General features: G+C 39.2%; 1 long non-coding RNA gene and 1 pseudogene across 3 annotated transcripts in view; both read left to right on the forward strand.

Moving 5' to 3' along the window:
* Positions 1 to 18,933, forward strand: part of LOC105375148 (uncharacterized) — a 147,709-nt gene that overhangs the window by 104,215 nt on the left and 24,561 nt on the right. Inside the window, exons 1-7 of one of the 3 annotated variants that reach the window (NR_187873.1) lie at positions 43 to 1,457; positions 4,121 to 4,196; positions 6,929 to 6,988; positions 9,667 to 9,708; positions 11,189 to 11,464; positions 14,935 to 14,999; positions 17,228 to 17,283. This is a non-coding gene — a long non-coding RNA (uncharacterized LOC105375148). Of the gene's footprint in view, positions 1 to 42; positions 1,458 to 4,120; positions 4,197 to 6,928; positions 6,989 to 9,666; positions 9,709 to 11,188; positions 11,465 to 14,934; positions 15,000 to 17,227; positions 17,284 to 18,933 lie in introns of those variants that run through there. The other 2 variants (NR_187874.1, NR_187872.1) reach the window with 2 other exon arrangements.
* On the forward strand, positions 54 to 2,270 carry CPAMD8P1 (CPAMD8 pseudogene 1; annotated as a pseudogene).

The raw sequence follows: 18,933 nt of genomic DNA on the forward strand, positions 1-18,933 counted from the left end.
AAATATTATTGGACGAGGCGGGTCCGGGGAGGGGGCTGGCCCGGGGCTGCCCCAGCTTGGCCGGGCGAGGAGCGGGGCGCATGGCGCCGGGCGCACTGCGCGGGGACTGCGAACAAAGGGCCCCCGGCGGCGGCGCGAGGACGGCCGCGCTCGGACCCTGGCCCTGGCCCAGCCCTGGCCCGGCCCCCTCCCCAGGCGCGGCGCCCCCCAGGAGCCGAAAAATGAGCGGCGCCCTGCTCTGGCCGTTGCTCCCGCTCCTGCTCCTGCTGCTGTCGGCGCGGGACGGCTTGCGCGCCGCACAGCCTCAGGCCCCGGGTTACTTGATTGCAGCTCCCTCTGTTTTTCGCGCGGGCGTGGAGGAAGTCATCAGCGTGACCATCTTTAACTCTCCAAGGGAAGTCACGGTCCAGGCTCAGCTGGTGGCCCAGGATAAAGGGACAATCAAACTCAAGGTGCCCACGGGCCTCCGGGGCCAGGCGCTTCTGAAAGTGTGGGGCCGCGGCTGGCAGGCGGAGGAGGGGCTCCTCTTTCACAACCAGACCTCGGTGACCGTGGACGGCCGGGGCGCTTCTGTATTCATCCAGACGGACAAGCCTGTGTACAGACCCCAGCACCGAGTGCTCATAAGCATCTTCACCGTCTCTCCAAATCTGAGGCCTGTCAACGAGAAGCTGGAAGCCAACATCCTGGACCCCCGAGGCTCTCGGATGATAGAGTGGAGACACTTGAAGCCGTTCTGCTGCGGCATCACCAACATGAGCTTCCCCTTGTCCGACCAGCCTGTGTTGGGAGAATGGTTCATTTTTGTTGAAATGCAAGGCCACGCGTACAACAAGTCTTTTGAAGTTCAGAAGTATGTGTTGCCCAAGTTCGAGCTTCTGATTGACCCGCCCCGGTATATCCAAGACCTGGACGCCTGTGAGACAGGCACTGTGCGGGCCAGGTATACCTTTGGGAAACCTGTGGCTGGTGCCTTAACGATCAACATGACTGTTAATGGTGTAGGGTACTACAGCCACGAGGTGGGACGCCCCGTCCTCAGAACATCCAAGATCCTCGGCTCCCGGGACTTCGACATCTGCGTGAGGGACATGATCCCAGCGGACGTCCCTGAGCACTTCCGGGGCAGGGTCAGCATCTGGGCCATGGTGACCAGTGTGGACGGGAGCCAGCAGGTCGCGTTCGATGACTCCACCCCCGTGCAGAGGCAGCTGGTGGACATCCGGTACTCCAAGGACACGAGGAAGCAGTTCAAGCCGGGCCTGGCCTACGTGGGGAAGGTGGAGCTATCCTACCCCGATGGCAGCCCAGCTGAGTGGGTGACGGTCCAGATTAAGGCAGAGCTGACACCAAAGGATAACATCTACACCAGTGAAGTTGTGTCCCAGGGTGGACTAGTGGGGTTTGAAATCCCTTCCATCCCCACGTCAGCCCAGCACGTGTGGCTGGAGACCAAGGTGATGGCACTGAACGGGAAGCCCGTGGGGGCTCAGTACCTGCCCAGCTACCTCTCCCTTGGCAGCTGGTACTCCCCCAGCCAGTGCTACCTGCAGCTGCAGCCACTCTCCCACCCACTGCAGGTTGGGGAAGAAGCCTATTTTTCTGATAAGTACACATGTCCCTGCAACTTTACCCTGTACTACGAGGTGGCTGCACGGGGCAATATTGTGCTATCAGGCCAGCAGCCTGCCCACATCACCCAGCAGCGAAGCAAGCGGGCGGCCCCTGCCCTGGAGAAACCGATTCGTTTAACACACCTTTCTGAGACAGAGCCCCCACCAGCCCCAGAAGCTGAGGTCGACGTGTGTGTGACCTCTCTTCGTCTGGCCGTGACCCCAAGCATGGTCCCCCTTGGTCGCCTGCTGGTCTTCTATGTCAGGGAGAATGGAGAAGGGGTCGCCGACAGCCTTCAGTTTGCAGTCGAGACCTTCTTCGAAAACCAGGTTTCAGTGACGTATTCAGCAAATGAGACCCAACCTGGGGAGGTTGTCGACCTGCGGATCAGGGCTGCAAGGGGCAGCTGTGTGTGCGTCGCCGCAGTTGATAAGAGTGTCTACCTGCTCAGGTCTGGGTTCCGGCTGACTCCTGCCCAGGTTTTCCAGGAACTGGAAGATTATGATGTTTCTGATTCCTTTGGAGTGTCCAGGGAGGATGGTCCTTTTTGGTGGGCTGGGCTGACGGCACAACGACGCCGGCGCTCCTCCGTCTTCCTGTGGCCTTGGGGCATCACCAAAGACTCTGGGTTTGCCTTCACCGTAAGGAGAGGTGGTCTCAGATCCCGCTGCCCCCTTCTAAGGTCCTCTTGCCTAGAAATAAGAGTCTTGGAGATTCAGAAATGGGTTGGAAACAGAATTGGAAGCTTTTCTTTCTTTTTTTCGAAATGGGGTCTTGCTCTGTGGCCCAGGCTGGAGTGCAGTGGTGTGATCGTAGCTCACTGCGGCCTCGAACACCTGTGCTCAAGTGATCCTCCCACCTCAGTCTCCCAAGTAGCTGGAACTGCAGGTGCATGCCACCACACCTGGCTAATTTTATTTTACTTTATTTCTTTGTAGAGATGGGGTCTTACTACATGGCCCTGGCTGGTGTCAAACTCCTGGCCTCAAGCAATCCTCCTCCTTCAGCTTCCCAAAGGGTTGGGATTACAGGCATGAGCCATTGCACCCAGCCTTCCAAACTTTTCTTTTTCATTTCTCCCCAGTGAAAGCTCACAAGTAGATTCTTCCAATTTGCAAAGCCGTGGAGAGCAGAATGTTATGCATGTCAATGGTCAGGTTCAAATGGGTAACTTGAACTTGTGATGGGATGTGTTATGACATTGACATGCTTTGCTGCGAGGAAAACCTTCTCATTGGGAGCTGTGGGTGCCAGTAGCTCTTAGCTCCGCCTCGGCTTTGGTTACCTTGGTTGTGTGTCTGGCAGCTTTCAAGCAGAAGGAGGTGGCTGTGTTCCCAGGTGGCAGGGGGTCTGAACTGCATAGGTGATCCTCCTGCCTCAGCCTCCCTAGTCGCTGGGATTGGAGGCATGAGCCACTGTGCCCAGCTCCAGTTTACCCGTCTTAAAAAGGGCTAATGGGGCGCCTGTAGTCCCAGCTACTCGGGAGGCTGAGGCAGGAGAACGGCGTGAACCTGGGAGGCGGAGCTTGCAGTGAGCCAAGATTGCGCCACTGCACTCCAGCCTGGGCGACAGAGCGAGACTCCGTCTCAAAAAAAAAAGGGCTAATGCTGGCTGGGCGCGGTGGCTCACGCCTGTAGTCCCAGCACTTTGGGAGGCTGAGGTGGGTGGATCACAAGGTCAAGAGATCGAGACCATCCTGGCCAACATGGTGAAACCCCCTCTCTACTAAAAACACAATAATTAGCTGGGCGTGGTGGTGCCTGCCTGTAGTCCCAGCTACTTGGGAGGCTGGGTCAGGAGAATCACTTGAGCCCGGGAGGTGGAGGTTGCAGTGAGCAGAGATCGCATCACTGCACTCCAGCCTGGTGACAGAGCGAGACTCCGTCTCAAAAAAAAAAAAAAAAAAAAAAAAAAAAAAAACAAAGGGCTAATGCTATCAGGTGCCCATCTCTGGACGTTGTCATGATGTGATATAGATAGAAAGGGATTGGGATGGGAGCATGCTTCGCCCTTCAGGGTCACACCTTAGGGTGCTGGTGGTCTCCACTCAAATGTGTGTCCCATTGGAGGGTGCCTTTCATTTCAGCTTTAAAAAATATTTCTGGCCAGGTGTGGTGTCTCACGCCTGTAGTCCCAGCACTTTGGGAGGCCAAGACAGGTGGATCACCTGAGGTCAGGAGTTCGAGACCAGCCTGGCCAACGTGGTGAAATCCCGTCTCTACTAAAAATACAAAAATTAGCCGGGTGTGGTGGTGGGCGCCTGTGATCCCAGCTACTCGGGAGGCTAAGGCAGGAGAAGCTCTGGAACTGGGAGGCGGAGGTTACAGTGATCACGCCACTGCACTCCAGCCTGGGTGGTAGAGCGAGACTCTGTCTCAAAAAATTGAAATTAAGTAAATAAATAAATAAATATAAAAAAAAGAAAATATTCATGGTTGATAAAATCAAGGTATTTAACATATCTCAGATGTAAACACATAAATAACTACGATGTTTATATATGAAGTGTCTGCAGTGTTTATGAAGGAGAATGGCACAACTGAACCAGTTTGGAGAGATTATATAAAGAAAAATGCATTAAGGTAAGAATTTAAAGACAGAATTGATAATGAATAAGCATTCTAGGCAGATTAAATTATTTATGCAGAATAAGGGAGTGGGATATTACCAAGTGTATTCAAAGGACAAGATGGTAAAGAACAAATTGGATCAACAGAGTCTAGTTGGGTATAACTGGACAAGTAAGATTTTGAATACTAGATTATAAAATTTTATAAACCAACATTTTTCAAAGTTGCCCCATGGAACATCATTACTTCTTGGAAATACAGAAGGTATTTTTGAACGAAGTCTCCCTCAGCAAAATCTAAAGAGATAACTGTATATTTTGTCCTTTTAAAGGTTCTGAGAATCCATAGAGTAAAATTTCTATTCCCCTTCAGCCTTGCTTAACCCAGCATTGTCCCAGTTATTTGGGCATTGACTTCTTTTTTTGCTTTCTCTGTTCTGACCAAATGCCCTGCACAAATATAGCTATAAGCAGTGAGAAGCCATTAGTTTTTAGAGCAGTTGAGTAACTTGATAAAAACCAAGACTTCAGAGCAACCATTTTATGCTTATGTGATGTGGAAAGAATGAGAAGAAAGCTGGAGATGGAGAGACGAGGGTCAGAAACCAGAAAGGAAATTAGCCAGCTTGTCAGTGTATTAGACATAGTGTTATGGCAGTGAGAAGAGATAGGAACATTAATAAAACAGAATGTGAAGTCTCCAGTAGTAGATTAAATATAGAAGTACAAGCAAAAGGCAAAGTTAAAAATAATTTAGTGAAACAAAACATCAAAAATTATCACTCACATATTAATGTATGTTTAGAAAAGTTCTCCGGAATTGGAGTTCTATATTCATTCTGGACCTTTACTTCAATGTTTTAACAACTTGCCAGCCAGAGAATTGTGTCTGAATATTAATCTTAATCACTCCAGCTGTATTTCACCCCTTTTCTGGTAGTATTTCAGAATTTTTCAAGTAGTATAGATTGGGGTCCTGCAGAGTTCTTGTTAATCTAATTTCTCCTGACTTGCAAAATAGAAGATGATTTAAACATCTTTGAAAATGATTGAAACACAGGCCTTAATTAATTTTAGGGAGGTGGCTTGCATATATTTTGCACACATGGCTTGCAAATGATTCTAGACTTACTAAATTAGGATCAAAGAAAATAGAAGTCCTATGTATAAGATTTATTTTAAAATATTTTCATCAGGCTTGGAAACCTTTTATTAGGTGTCAATAAATTACTTTGACCCAGAGATGTGTAACCATATTTTATATTCATACCAAAATATGATATGGTGTATGTGGGCTGAGGAGTCATTTGACTGCACAGGATTGCAATTCTACCTGTCCCATATTAGACATGTGGCCTGAGGCAAGTTATTGTAAGGATCTGTATCACATTTTTTAATCACTGTTTTGGAGGAGTAATTATATTCTCCTCAGTGACTGTGAAATGTGTGTGTGCATGTGGAATGGCTAGCATAGAGCCCGGCATATAATCAGTCGTCCGTGTACTTGAATCCCCTGTCTCCTCACTTCTTAATCTTCAAACAGTTGTGTTAACTGAATTTTTAAATTGCCTCTAAAATCTTTGCCATTAATTTTTACTTAAATCAGTTTGCCACCTTTCATCTCTGTCCATTTTATCGTAGTGATCCTTTTCTCTGTAGCACTTTTCTTCCCCTACACATAAAGACCAGGGTTTATGGATTTATCATTTTCATTCTCTTTATCAATGTCACCTTTGCCAAGGTAAAGAAGGATGAATATTTCCAAAATAACTGATTCTGTTTGTAAGAAACCTTAGGCCCAGACCTTTCTGAAAAAGGCTATTTGAAGTGGAATGTGTGTTTTTAGATGTAAATTCACTCCCATAGTCCTGCAGACAAGATAAACATGTTCATTTTTTAAATAGACACTTTTCATAGGAACATCAGTCTAAGTGCACAGCTGGGATACAAGATAACAATAGCTCTTCCTAACCAGCTTTCATTACTAGAACTTACAGTCCCAGGTAAAAATCATTTCTTTTAACACAAAAAAGAACAGCAGTAGATGGCTGGAATTTCTGACATATTCCATGGGCTACCATTATATTTGATATCGTTTTCTTAGCCTCTTTGCCTTCCAGTTCTCTGGGGTAGAAGTAAACTACTCTCAATATACTTGAGTATCCACTCCCCTACTCCATGTACCCAAAACCCTCTATTTATATATATATATTTATTCATTCATTTATTCATTAATTCATTTATTTTGAGACGGAGTCTCGCTCTGTCTCGCTCTGTCACCCAGGCTGGAGTGCAGTGGCGGGATCCCCTCTCGCTGCAAGCTCCGCCTCCCGGGTTCACGCCATTCTCCTGCCTCAGCCTCCCGAGTAGCTGGGACTACAGGCGCCCGCCACCGTGCCTGGCCAATTTTTTTGTATTCTTAGTAGAGACAGGGTTTCACCGTATTAGCCAGGATGGTCTCAATCTCCTGACCTCATGATCCGCCTGACTCGGCCTGCCAAAGTGCTGGGATTACAGGCGTGAGCCACCGTGCCCGGCCCCCTCTATTTATTAATTCAACAAAAAATATTGAGCACGTAGTATGCAATGGTTGGGTTGCCAATGTAGTGATATACAACAGATTGAGACAGAACCACGGTCCCTGCTTCCACAGATATCCTGTTGTTATGTTGGGACTAACATAACTCTAGAATGGAAGCTTCATGAGGAGAGACTTTTTTTTTCTGTTCTCTCATTTTATCCTAGGTCCCAGAACAGGGCCAAGCATTAAGGAGCTTCAATAAATATTTCTTGAGTGAAATAAAGGTAACAAATAATGTGGGTAGTAGTAAATATAATGAAGAAAAATAAGGCAGAATAAAGAAATGGAATGTAGGTTTATACAAGTTATTGTTTGGGGCTCTTTTCTACTTTTCATAAATGTCATCCAACTAAGTGTGATCCATACTGATTCCGTACCTGACTAGTACATCAATTTCCAAAGCCCCATAGACCATCTCTTTGAAATAACTCTCTGTCTTGATTTCTTCCTCCAGAAACTAGTCTTCATCTGTGTTTAGGCCCATTATCTTCTTCCATAGTTAGGGCTACAGATTTGTATTAAGGTTTTGTTTCTCTATGAAGTATTTGCTGCATTTAATATTGGCATATAACAATTTAACTCCAAACACAGAGATCAAATATCAGACTATTTTATTTCTTACTAGCTCCCAAATAAAACTGTTTTGCAAAAGCCATGACAAAGTTTTCACCGTCCATAGTGAGATGAACCACATCAGAGGAATATAGTCAATTATTGGAAAACTAAACATATTGCTTGTAAGATAGTCTTTTGGAATTAAGACATTTTCTTCATTTTTAGTTTCATAATGACTATTATTATAAAATGATATTCATCTCAAAAAGTAATATTGTTTTTCTGGTTGTATAATGTATTTGGCAACTGCAGAACTTAGTAATCCTACATCAAGATCTAAATTTGAGGAAGATGGGAATGTTAACTGTGTATGAAGTCAACATCCTAAAATTTCTCTCACTGGCAATTTAGTGATAAATAAAATGAATGATTACACACGCACATATGTACTTGTTTGCGAAGTCCTTGGGGTAGAGATTAATTCTATATTTAATATATGCATTTCTAGTGCTCAATACTTGGAAACAGTATATGCGCAATACATATTAATTTACTGAATAAACAATTCTAGGCTACCCTTCACAATAAACATAAAGAAGGAATATGAAATAAAATACCATGTATGAGTTTAAAAACTTCTGGATTCTATGAGGGTTCTCACCACACCAGATGGGATAGCAAATAAAAATTTAAAACAGTTCAGATCATAGATCTTTTTGGTGAACAAATAATGAATAAGAGAGAAGACAGGATTTTGCTGCATAGTTAATCTTTATCCACCCCCCATCCCAAACTTGAATAGTTACAAGAATAACTATATAGCTTTGCTAAATCCCAATCTAAACTTAATATATACTTTATTACATGGAAATCAGAAATATAACTTAGAACCTTCTATAGGTTCACATTTCAACGCTGAAAATTACTCAGTTGCACTAGATCTGCGTTTGGTTTGATTGCTCACTAATTGTCGAGTGTATGTTGTGTTTGCTTTTTGCCTTTATATGCTGTAAGCATTCCTCTTAATATCCTTGGTTCTTACGGTCATGTAATGTCAAAATCATTGTTTCCATGCTTAGATCCCTAATGCTAAATTTGAAGAGATACGGAGATGTGTGTGAATGCTTCCTGATGGAATTTTAGGTGAGAGAGAGAGACGGAATAAATAAAGGACTTAGAATATCAACCCCTCTCTCAAGGCAGTACATTTTTGAATTAACTGAATTTGAGGCTACTCCTATCTAGCAGTTAGTGACACTGTTCATCAGCCACTTTAACACAATAAAGTTGAAAAATAGGATCAAAGAACCTGAAGACAGAAATAAGCTGAACAGGCATGTAGGCACTAGTGTGTGTAAAATTAAGACAAGAAAAAAATCATTCTAACTTAAAAGCATCCCAAATGGCTCAGAATGCAACTGAGATAATGATATGTTATTTCCCACAAATATCTAATGGCTCCAACATGAGGAGCTAACTATAATGAACAGTCTTATTAAAATATAAAAATCACTGAGGGAGCATGCACGAGAAATCCAATCTCGGCAGCACCACTTTATGGGCAGTTCTTAGTTTGAAGATCAGTGAAGGTGCCAGTGCTTCTTAATTTATCTTAAGCCTGATAATCTGCACTTTGCTTCAACTTTTCTCCTAACAAAGCAGAACACAAATATTGAAATAAAAGTAGCATAATATTATTTTAAGGTGTTTGTACTGAAATTTAATTAAAACATCAAGTCTCATATGACACTAAAGACTAGTTAAAAATAACAATTCTAGGCATATATAAATTAGATTTAAGTAGCAGATAATAGTCAAGACTATACCTTTTGGCTTGAAGCAGTGTTTTTTTTTTTTGTTTAAAGGTAATTGAGGGAAAACATATAATATTTACAATTTCCATAATTCATATTGACATCTTTGAGCATACTTAACAATACTAATAATGAAAATGAAAGTGTTCTGGCTGGGATTGACAGATTTAGCAACACAATCAAATAAAAAAAGACAGGTATTCAGTAAAATTTAAATTCTGGATAAACAATGATTATTTCTTCATATAAGTTTGACACACGCAATTTTGGAGAATGCATATACTAAAAATTATCTATCTATTGTTTATCTGAAATTCAGGTTTAACTGGGAATCCTGTATTTTATCTGGTACACCTAGGTTCAGGCCAATGGTAATCAAGATAAATTGTATGCATGGTGCTTTAGTGAGTAAATTAAATAGGTCTAATTGTATATTATTTTATCTTTAGATAAAACAATCATTTGAAATACATGATAATTGAGAGAGAGAATGATACAGCTGAGCTATATTTGTGTTTCACTTATTCTTCCAGGAAACACTAATGGAGATCATTGTGCAACCCTCTTGAAGTTAGGTAAAGCTATATGACTGAATTCTACACAAGAGACTGTGAGCAAAAGTGATGTTCCCCTCTTCTAGTCCCCTCTCTCCCTTTCCTTTTCCTTGTCTGACAGTTTGAGGTAAGGCCTCCAGTGGAAGACCCTGAGCCTTTATGATAACAGTATCAAAATATGGAAGGGGGCTGGGTACCTGAGTGACTACATGGAACAGAGAACCAACTCCCCATTTCTTCCTGCCACCACTAACACACAGTAGATGGTGAAGTGCATGACAAAGGAACAAACTCTCAACATTCTGAGGTTGTTTGTTTCAATGGTTAGTGTGACTTAATTTGTCTAATAAAGATATTAACAGTTTGAGTAGGCTGCTTTTGCAACTGAAACTTCCAACATGTAATTACTGGTTTATCAGACTGGAGGTAGGTGGTGAAGGAACAGATATAACAGGATGGACGCCTATATATCTGTGTTATTCAGTGTCAAATATTTAATTAAACAGTAGAAGAGAGAAAGTGTATCTACTGGGATCTACCTTTAAGAAATGAGGTTGGTTAAAAACTGTTATTCTCTTTTGGATATGGTTATTTACTATGCTGAGCAATGTGTTACCTAAAAAGATAAATTTAGGAAAGAATAGGCAGCATTAAATGAAAAGGAATAGGAAAAAAAAAAAAAACCCAGAAACTTGGGTTTATTCAGGTTGTGAAGTACTTACCTGGACTCCAAACAATTTTTTAAGAGAGATTTAAAAGCCTTTTGTAAAAAAACAAAAAATAAAAAAATAAAAAATAAAAGCCTTTTGTAAGATTTCCTACTTAAAGTAACTCCGACCTGGAACATGTTTAGACTGAGGGTATGGATATGACATCCAATTAGTTTTAGATAGTCACCAGGTGTGCCATTAAGTTGAAAAAGAGAAACTTAGAGGTGAGAAAGCAAAGAAATAAATTTATCTAAGAGAATATTCTGGACTGCATAGATTAAGAGCCTACCAATACTTTAGGGAATTTTATTGCCTTTTATTATTCCATCTGTAACACAATCTTTGGACTCAAGCTTGCTTCCATAGGAACTAGTCTGAAAAAGTTATACAGGATTAAAATCCTTACAAAAGACAGAGACAATAAGTTAAAAACAGAAGAAAAATGTCTTCCAGGGCAGAGCCGCCAAGATCAAAGAGAATAACGAACAATATGTTATATTGCCTAGAGATCTTAGGCTTTCTGTTGAATCCCTTGGAGAGAGGCTTTGGGTGTTCCATAGATAGAATAAATGGAACAAAAGATATTTGTTGATCAAAGGGACAGAATCCACATTTCTCGTCTTTTAAAAGTTAGACTAATTTCCCAGTCTTTTTGAAGCAAGGTCATGTGACTGAATTCTAACCAATAGAAAGCAGACAGAAGGGTTTATGACTATCTTAGTCTGCTCAGGCTGCTATGATATATTATAGATTGAGCGACTTAAACAAATTTATTTCTCATCATTCTGAAGGTGAAGAAGGTCAAGAACAAGGTGTCAGCCAACTTGACATTTCGGAAATGGCTGCATATCAGAGTTCTCCACTGTTCTCCACACTTACTCTCTCCCTTATCTCCGAGCTGGTAGCAGAGGAGCCAGCAGAAGACAGCAAGCCCTTGGTATAGATAGAGAAGCCATGGATGAAAAGAAGCAGGCCTTAAAGACAGAGCAAAGTAACATAGCATTCCTCTCTACTATCATCCTGTACTGGATAGGCCCCCACAAATAATCCTGTATTTTGGTAAACCGGTGAGTTATTAGCATTAGCAGTTTACCTATGCTGATAAACACACTGATTAAAAAAAAACACAATCTTGAAACACTATACAGTGACATTTATACATGGCTTTAAAATAAATTTTAATACATTGAAAGATATCTTAGGTTTGGTGATTTAGGATACATCAGCCAATCAAGTTTCTCATTTACCAGAGAAAATGTGTTAAGCTTTATGCTTGATTTTGGACTACACCTTTTATTAATGCTTTCTCTGACATTCCAATCAGATAATGTTATTCTCTTTTTATGGGTAATAATTTTGAAATGCAAGATTCTGAAAACCAGAATCTTCAGTCTTCTCTTTTGAAACATGGTGAATTAATCATGTTGATTATTTTTAAATTCTTCTAACAGTATTCTAATTTGTCAAACTTCGCATCAGATTCACTATATTATTAAAGAGAGGTTTATGTAACAAGACAAAAATCACAGCAAAATGATATAGTTCAACATGCTATTACTGACTGATTTTAACCATAAAAGGAAAGCAGATTGGAGGAGACTCTGAATGGAATTTTGCATAGCCAATATGAAAGAGCCTTTAGGCACTGTTTTTAGCCTAAAAATTGACAAAATGAAATGAATTATCAAGAACTCAAAGTTAAAGTGAACTTTGAATCCATCTTATTTATTTCATTAAAGCCCTTAGAAGCAACTTTATTCGTTAGTCACTCGGCTTATATTTTAATGCTACAAAAAATGTGGTTGTTATGCCATCCAAATACAGTCTTTTACTAGATGTTTAGCAGTTTTATTATTTTTTCCTGATGTCAGGCGAGGTACCTTTTAACTTAGTTGTTCCCATCCTTTTTTTTTTTTTTAATTTTTCAAGTTAGTCTTTACTTGTTCTTTTTTTTTTAATGTTATTATTATTATACTTTAAGTTTTAGGGTACATGTGCACAATGTGCAGGTTAGTTACATATGTATACATGTGCCATGCTGGTGTGCTGCACCCATTAACTTGTCATTTAGCATTAGGTATATCTCCTAATGCTATCCCTCCCCCCTCCCCCCACCCCACAACAGTCCCTAGAGTGTGATGTTCCCCTTCCTGTGTCCATGTGTTCTCATTGTTCAATTCCCACCTATGAGTGAGAACATGCAGTGTTTGGTTTTTTGTCCTTGCAATAGTTTACTGAGAATGATGATTTCCAATTTCATCCATGTCCCTACAAAGGACATGAACTCATCATTTTTTATAGCTGCATAGTATTCCATGGTGTATATGTGCCACATTTTCTTAATCCAGTCTATCATTGTTGGACATTTGGGTTGGTTCCAAGTCTTTGCTATCGTGAATAGTGCCGCAATAAACATACGTGTGCATGTGTCTTTATAGCAGCATGATTTATAGTCTTTTGGGTATATACCCAGTAATGGGATGGCTGGGTCAAATGGTATTTCTGGTTCTAGATCCCTGAGGAATCGCCACACTGACTTCCACAATGGTTGAACTAGTTTACAGTCCCACCAACAGTGTAAAAGTGTTCCTATTTCTCCACATCCTCTCCAGCACCTGTTGTTTCCTGACTTTTTAATGATTGCCATTCTAACTGGTGTGAGATGGTATCTCATTGTGGTTTTGATTTGCATTTCTCTGATGGCCACTGATGGTGAGCATTTTTTCACGTGTCTTTTGGCTGCATAACTGTCTTCTTTTGAGAAGTGTCTGTTCATGTCCTTCACCCACTTTTTGATGGGGTTGTTTTTTTCTTGTAAATTTGTTTGAGTTCATTGTAGCTTCTGGATATTAGCCCTTTGTCAGATGAGTAGGTTGCGAAAATTTTCTCCCATTTTGTAGGTTGCCTGTTTACTCTGATGGTAGTTTCTTTTGCTGTGCAGAAGCTCTTGAGTTTAATTAGATCCCATTTGTCAATTTTGGCTTTTGTTGCCATTGCTTTTGGTGTTTTAGACATGAAGTCCTTGCCCATGCCTATGTCCTGAATGGTAATGCCTAGGTTTTCTTCTAGGGTTTTTATGATTTTAGGTCTAACGTTTAAGTCTTTAATCCATCTTGAATTAATTTTTGTATAAGGTGTAAGGAAGGGATCCAGTTTCAGCTTTCTACATATGGCTAGCCAGTTTTCCCAGCACCATTTATTAAATAGGGAATCCTTTCCCCATTGCTTGTTTTTCTCAGGTTTGTCAAAGATCAGATAGTTGTAGATATGCGGTGTTATTTCTGAGGGCTCTGTTCTGTTCCATTGATCTATATCTCTGTTTTGGTACAAGTACCATGCTGTTTTGGTCACTGTAGCCTTGTAGTATAGTTTGAAGTCAGGTAGCGTGATGCCTCCAGCTTTGTTCTTTTGGCTTAGGATTGACTTGGCGATGCGGGCTCTTTTTTGGTTCCATATGAACTTTAAAGTAGTTTTTTCCAATTCTGTGAAGAAAATCATTGGTAGCTTGATAAGGATGGCTTTGAATCTATAAATTACCTTGGGCAGTATGGCCATTTTCACGATATTGATTCTTCCTACCCATGAGCATGGAATGGTCTTCCATTAGCTTATCCACCATGATCAAGTGGGCTTCATCCCTGGGATGCAAGGCTAGTTCAATATATGCAAATCAATAAATGTAATCCAGCATATAAACAGAACCAAAGACAAAAACCACATGATTATCTCAATAGATGCAGAAAAGCCCTTTGACAAAATTCAACAACCCTTCATGCTAAAAACTCTCAATAAATTAGGTATTGATGGGACGTATCTCAAAATAATAAGAGCTATCTATGACAAACCCACAGCCAATATCATACTGAATGGGCAAAAACTGGAAGCATTCCCTTTGAAAACTGGCACAAGACAGGGATGCCCTCTCTCACCACTCCTATTCAACATAGTGTTGGAAGTTCTGGCCAGGGCAATTAGGCAGGAGAAGGAAATAAAGGGTATTCAATTAGGAAAAGAGGAAGTCAAATTGTCCCTGTTTGCAGATGACATGATTGTATATCTAGAAAACCCCATTGTCTCAGCCCCAAATCTCCTTAAGCTGATAAGCAACTTCAGCAAATTCTCAGGATACAAAATCAATGTACAAAAATCACAAGCATTCTTATACACCAATAGCAGACAAACAGAGAGCCAAATCATGTGTGAACTCCCGTTCACAATTGCTTCAAAGAGAATAAAATACCTAGGAATCCAACTTTCAAGGGACGTGAAGGACCTCTTCAAGGAGAACTAGTTGTTCCCATCCTTTACTCCGTATTTAATCCACCTGGGGATGTTTAAAAAAATTGATGAGTCACTTCCACTCCCAGATATTCTGATTTAATTGGTATTGAGTATAACGATGGTACTGATAATTTAAAAAATTTCTCAGGTGATTCTAGTACTTGGCATAGTTAGGAAATCACTGTTACAACTATATTTCCAGATTTAACTTCAAGGAAATAATGTTATGAATTCTTTGTTAATGTTTTTTATAAAGATGCTTGAGGAAGACATGCTAGAGCAAAAACTACAACTCTGGTCCTCTTGGATATTTTAGATAAGGTAAGATTTTTGAATTGCACTGATACCTACAGTTAATTTGAATAAAACATTTATATCTCATTTAGTCAGATGATTCAGTGAGAAAGGTGGGGTCAAGTTCAGTCACCAAGTGTTAAATCATTCCAATCTGGTGTTGGTCATCTTCTATGTGTTTTTATCTGGATAAACTTTCCTTTAAAAGGGACCCTCTAAAGAATTATTCTAAAGCGTTCTTTTTTCATTATGATGGATACCAATACTGAATCATACCTGAATCACAGACTTGGCTATAACTTTCTAATTGAAAGGACTAAAAGTAGCTAAAATGCCAATTTAAAATATTTAGAGTAGAAAAGTTGTGTAAAATAAAACTTGTTTATTATGATGGCCAAGATAATTCTGTTCCCTCATGAGAAATAATGTATATTTCACTTTCTTTTTGATTTTCAGTTTTTACAATAGCAAAGAAAAAAATTCTGACATAAATCTAAACATTTAGCTTCACTGTAATTTAACAAATAACTTCGGCAACAAAATTAAATTTAAACATGGCTATGAGTTTTCGAAGTATCAATTTCTTCTGTCAAACTGTGAGTTCTTAGGTGAAGCATCCAATGAAATGTTGCTAGCCATTTTTTTTTTGCTGTAGTTTTTCTTTTCAAACAACTTTGCATTTATTTCTCCATCTGACCTTCCTTCACAAGAGGTAGTTACAGTATATCCATCATATTTTCTTGCTGTGCTTGAGTACAGATCATATTATTTCATTTCAGAAATAATTTCCTGATGCTGTATTTAAGTAGCACATTTTATATCAATGGACAAATCAGTGTAAAAGAATGGGAATAGCCCTGATTTAAGGGAAAAAGGTCTGATTTGTGACTTTCAAATTGATTTTTGATTATCAAATTGATTACCTGTGTGACTATCCACCTTGGAAAGGTTCACAGTGCGTTTTCCAAGCTGATTCTTATTTTGAATATTTCTTCGTGGTAATATCAAAAAATATTAAAGACATTAAGCCACTCAGTTAAAGACCCCTACTTACACATAAAGATATGAGAAACAAGATCATTCATATTTCATCATAAAGATTGCATCCTAAGTGAACTATTGGACTGAACAATTACAGAGACATTAAACATATTAGAAGAAGAAAACCACCCTTAATTTGTGCCAACAATATTCTGGCCCAGATTCTCCACTGAAGTATTTATTTTATAATTTGATTATTTTCTGCACTTTACCTTTATTGATAGGAAAACCATTATAGAGGTTAAGATCCATTTGCTATTTTGTATTATTTCAGAAAATGCTAATATTATTTTTCTTTATAACATGTACCAATCTAGGGAAAAATAAGAAACAGAGGAAAAAAAACCTCTCTGGGTGTATGTATGTTTTCTGGTTAATTTTTGTTTAATTATTCATTCTGAAATAATAGTTAATTTATTAGGCCAGCTTTCTTCTCCCAGAAATCCTGTATGCTTATGTGATTGTCAAAAAAATTAAACTTATATATAAAGCTTGTAAGTTAGCCAGAAATTTGCTGGTTCACATCCAGGCAAGAAATTTGCTCTCTTCTGTTGTTAGAAACTCAAATATTAAGTTACAAAAAGGTTGTGAAATATTCAGAGTTGACCAAAAAAGTCTTGCCATTCCCTTCAGCTTAACTAAATTTTAAACAGATTTGTTCCTGACTATAGGTCCTTTATCTCACTTTTCCTAGAGCATTTAATTTAGAAAAATTGCAACTATATATTGTTTCCCTGCACCTTTGAGATATAAATCTTCTTGCCATTTTTACAACATAGAAATGTCTTTCTCAAAGAACTCAGAGCATCTCTTTGAAATGAAATTATCAAGAAATACAGGATCCTTATCCCCCAGTCTCTATGGGAGGGTAGGAGCTTAACATCAATAAATGCCAACTAGCAAGCACAGAATGCCTAATCGTACTAATCAGCCTTCCTCCAGTGTCCTTCAGTATATTTCCACTAGCTCACCCCAGTGCTTAAAAGTCTCTTGCCCTTTGTTTCAAAGGAGTTGAATTTAATCTCCCTCCCCTGTTGCAATAGTGTTGAATAAAGTCTTTCTTGACTGTTTTTGTTGGTTCTGTGCAATTTTTCTCTGGCAGAGTCAATGTTGCCTTTCTGCCAGTCTCATAAAATATGTGCTTATACGAGCATTGGTTTGGTTTTGTTATTGCCGAGTCATTTTTAAATTTTTTTAACTATATCATTTTAAAGGACTTTACCCACATAAAGAAGGTGTTGCCCTGGGGACTGGCTGAGAGAAATTACAGGTAAGTGAAAAGTAAATGGAAGCACAGGCTTCATGATTAAGCCAAATATATATTGACTTATATAAATCAAATTAACAAATAGAAGTTTGCATGTATATACAGAAAATGAAATTTAAAACGTATATAAATGTATACACATTTTGAAAAGTATCCTAAATATGTGAATATTTCAAACAGTTTAAGAACAAGGGCACTAAATTACTCATATATTTGATTCATTTCTCTAGTTCACTTTTCATTTGTAAACAATACATAAGACCTTTCTACAAGATTATTTTTAGCCTTTTTAGACTGCTAGTGAAAAGTATAATGAGCTAATTTATCTAAAATACTCCAATTGCTGAGATAACTGACTCCTTTTAACATTTTTTCATTAATTATAATAGAGTTTTAATTACCATTGGAAGGTTTTATAATTAGTTAACGTCTAGTTATATAATCAGTGACCATAAGCTTTCTAATTGACATAACACCTAAAAATTACTCAAAGCATGTTGTAGTGTTGCTTCATGTCAATAAATGGAACCTGAATTCCATTTATTTTAGAGAGGATGGGCTAGTGAAATTTATCAAGGATGTGCTGTGGCTTAATGCTTTTTTTGGCACACCTACGAATGTCCTTGTAGAGGCTAGAAAAAGGAAATTCACAAAGAAGTTTGTGATTTATATATACTATAGACCCATTATTAGCTAGGGTGAATGAAGTGAGTTTATCAAGTTGTTTTCATTGAAAATTACATAATATCAAATTATAACAATATACTTTTCTATAATTTTCAATGGTAAAAATAGTAAACCTGAAAGGAAATGGAATTCAATAATTTAAATTTTAAGAGCAATTTGTTAACAGAATTGATTTTTCCCAATTCTTGTAGCTTTGCAACCAATGACAAGTCATATTTCAATAAACATAAATTAGAGAAAATCTAGAAATATTTTGATAAGCATTGTTGCCATATGCAATGATTGTGTATATCCAATCTACCTACCTTTGTGCTTCAACTCCATAAACTGTTTTTATTTTTCTCCTGAAGAAAGTCACAAAAAAATAAAGTTTTATGCACTTGCCAAAAAGCAGTGTTTAAGTTACCAAACTGGTCATCATTTCTACCCCCAGCTCTGATTTGCTTTAGTTAGCCAATTAATTTCTAGAATCCCAGTGTATATTAAACTGTGTTGAACTGCTCACAGTCCAGAAATTACTTCTCTGTATCTGCCTATCTTAACTCACCATTTGGATCCCATTTGTTTGACTTGCTCTTTTCAATCTCTCTTTTGGTGCCAAATTGCCCAAATACTGTTTAGTACTAATATTTTGGCTGACCTTTTTTACCTAATTAGGTGTTCAAACGACTTTATCCTGCATGTACCAAATATATACTATCATATCAAGTATCCCAAGGCCTGTTTTAAAGGAAGGGATAATAAGAGTATACTTTAATAATCTGTACATCATATATGCAATACATTAGCAATGGAACACTTATGAATTTGGCGAAAGGCCAGGGCATAATTATTTGCTGATTAGCTAGAATAGTCCAACATTTAGGATATAGCGCTTCTTACAGGACATTTCATTGTACAATTTGAAAAGAAAAGTGATGATCACTTAATTATGTAATAACTATGCTTGTTTTGGAGTTATCTGTT

This window comes from Homo sapiens, chromosome 7 (assembly GCF_000001405.40).
Source record: "Homo sapiens chromosome 7, GRCh38.p14 Primary Assembly".
Classification (NCBI taxonomy): domain Eukaryota; kingdom Metazoa; phylum Chordata; class Mammalia; order Primates; family Hominidae; genus Homo; species Homo sapiens.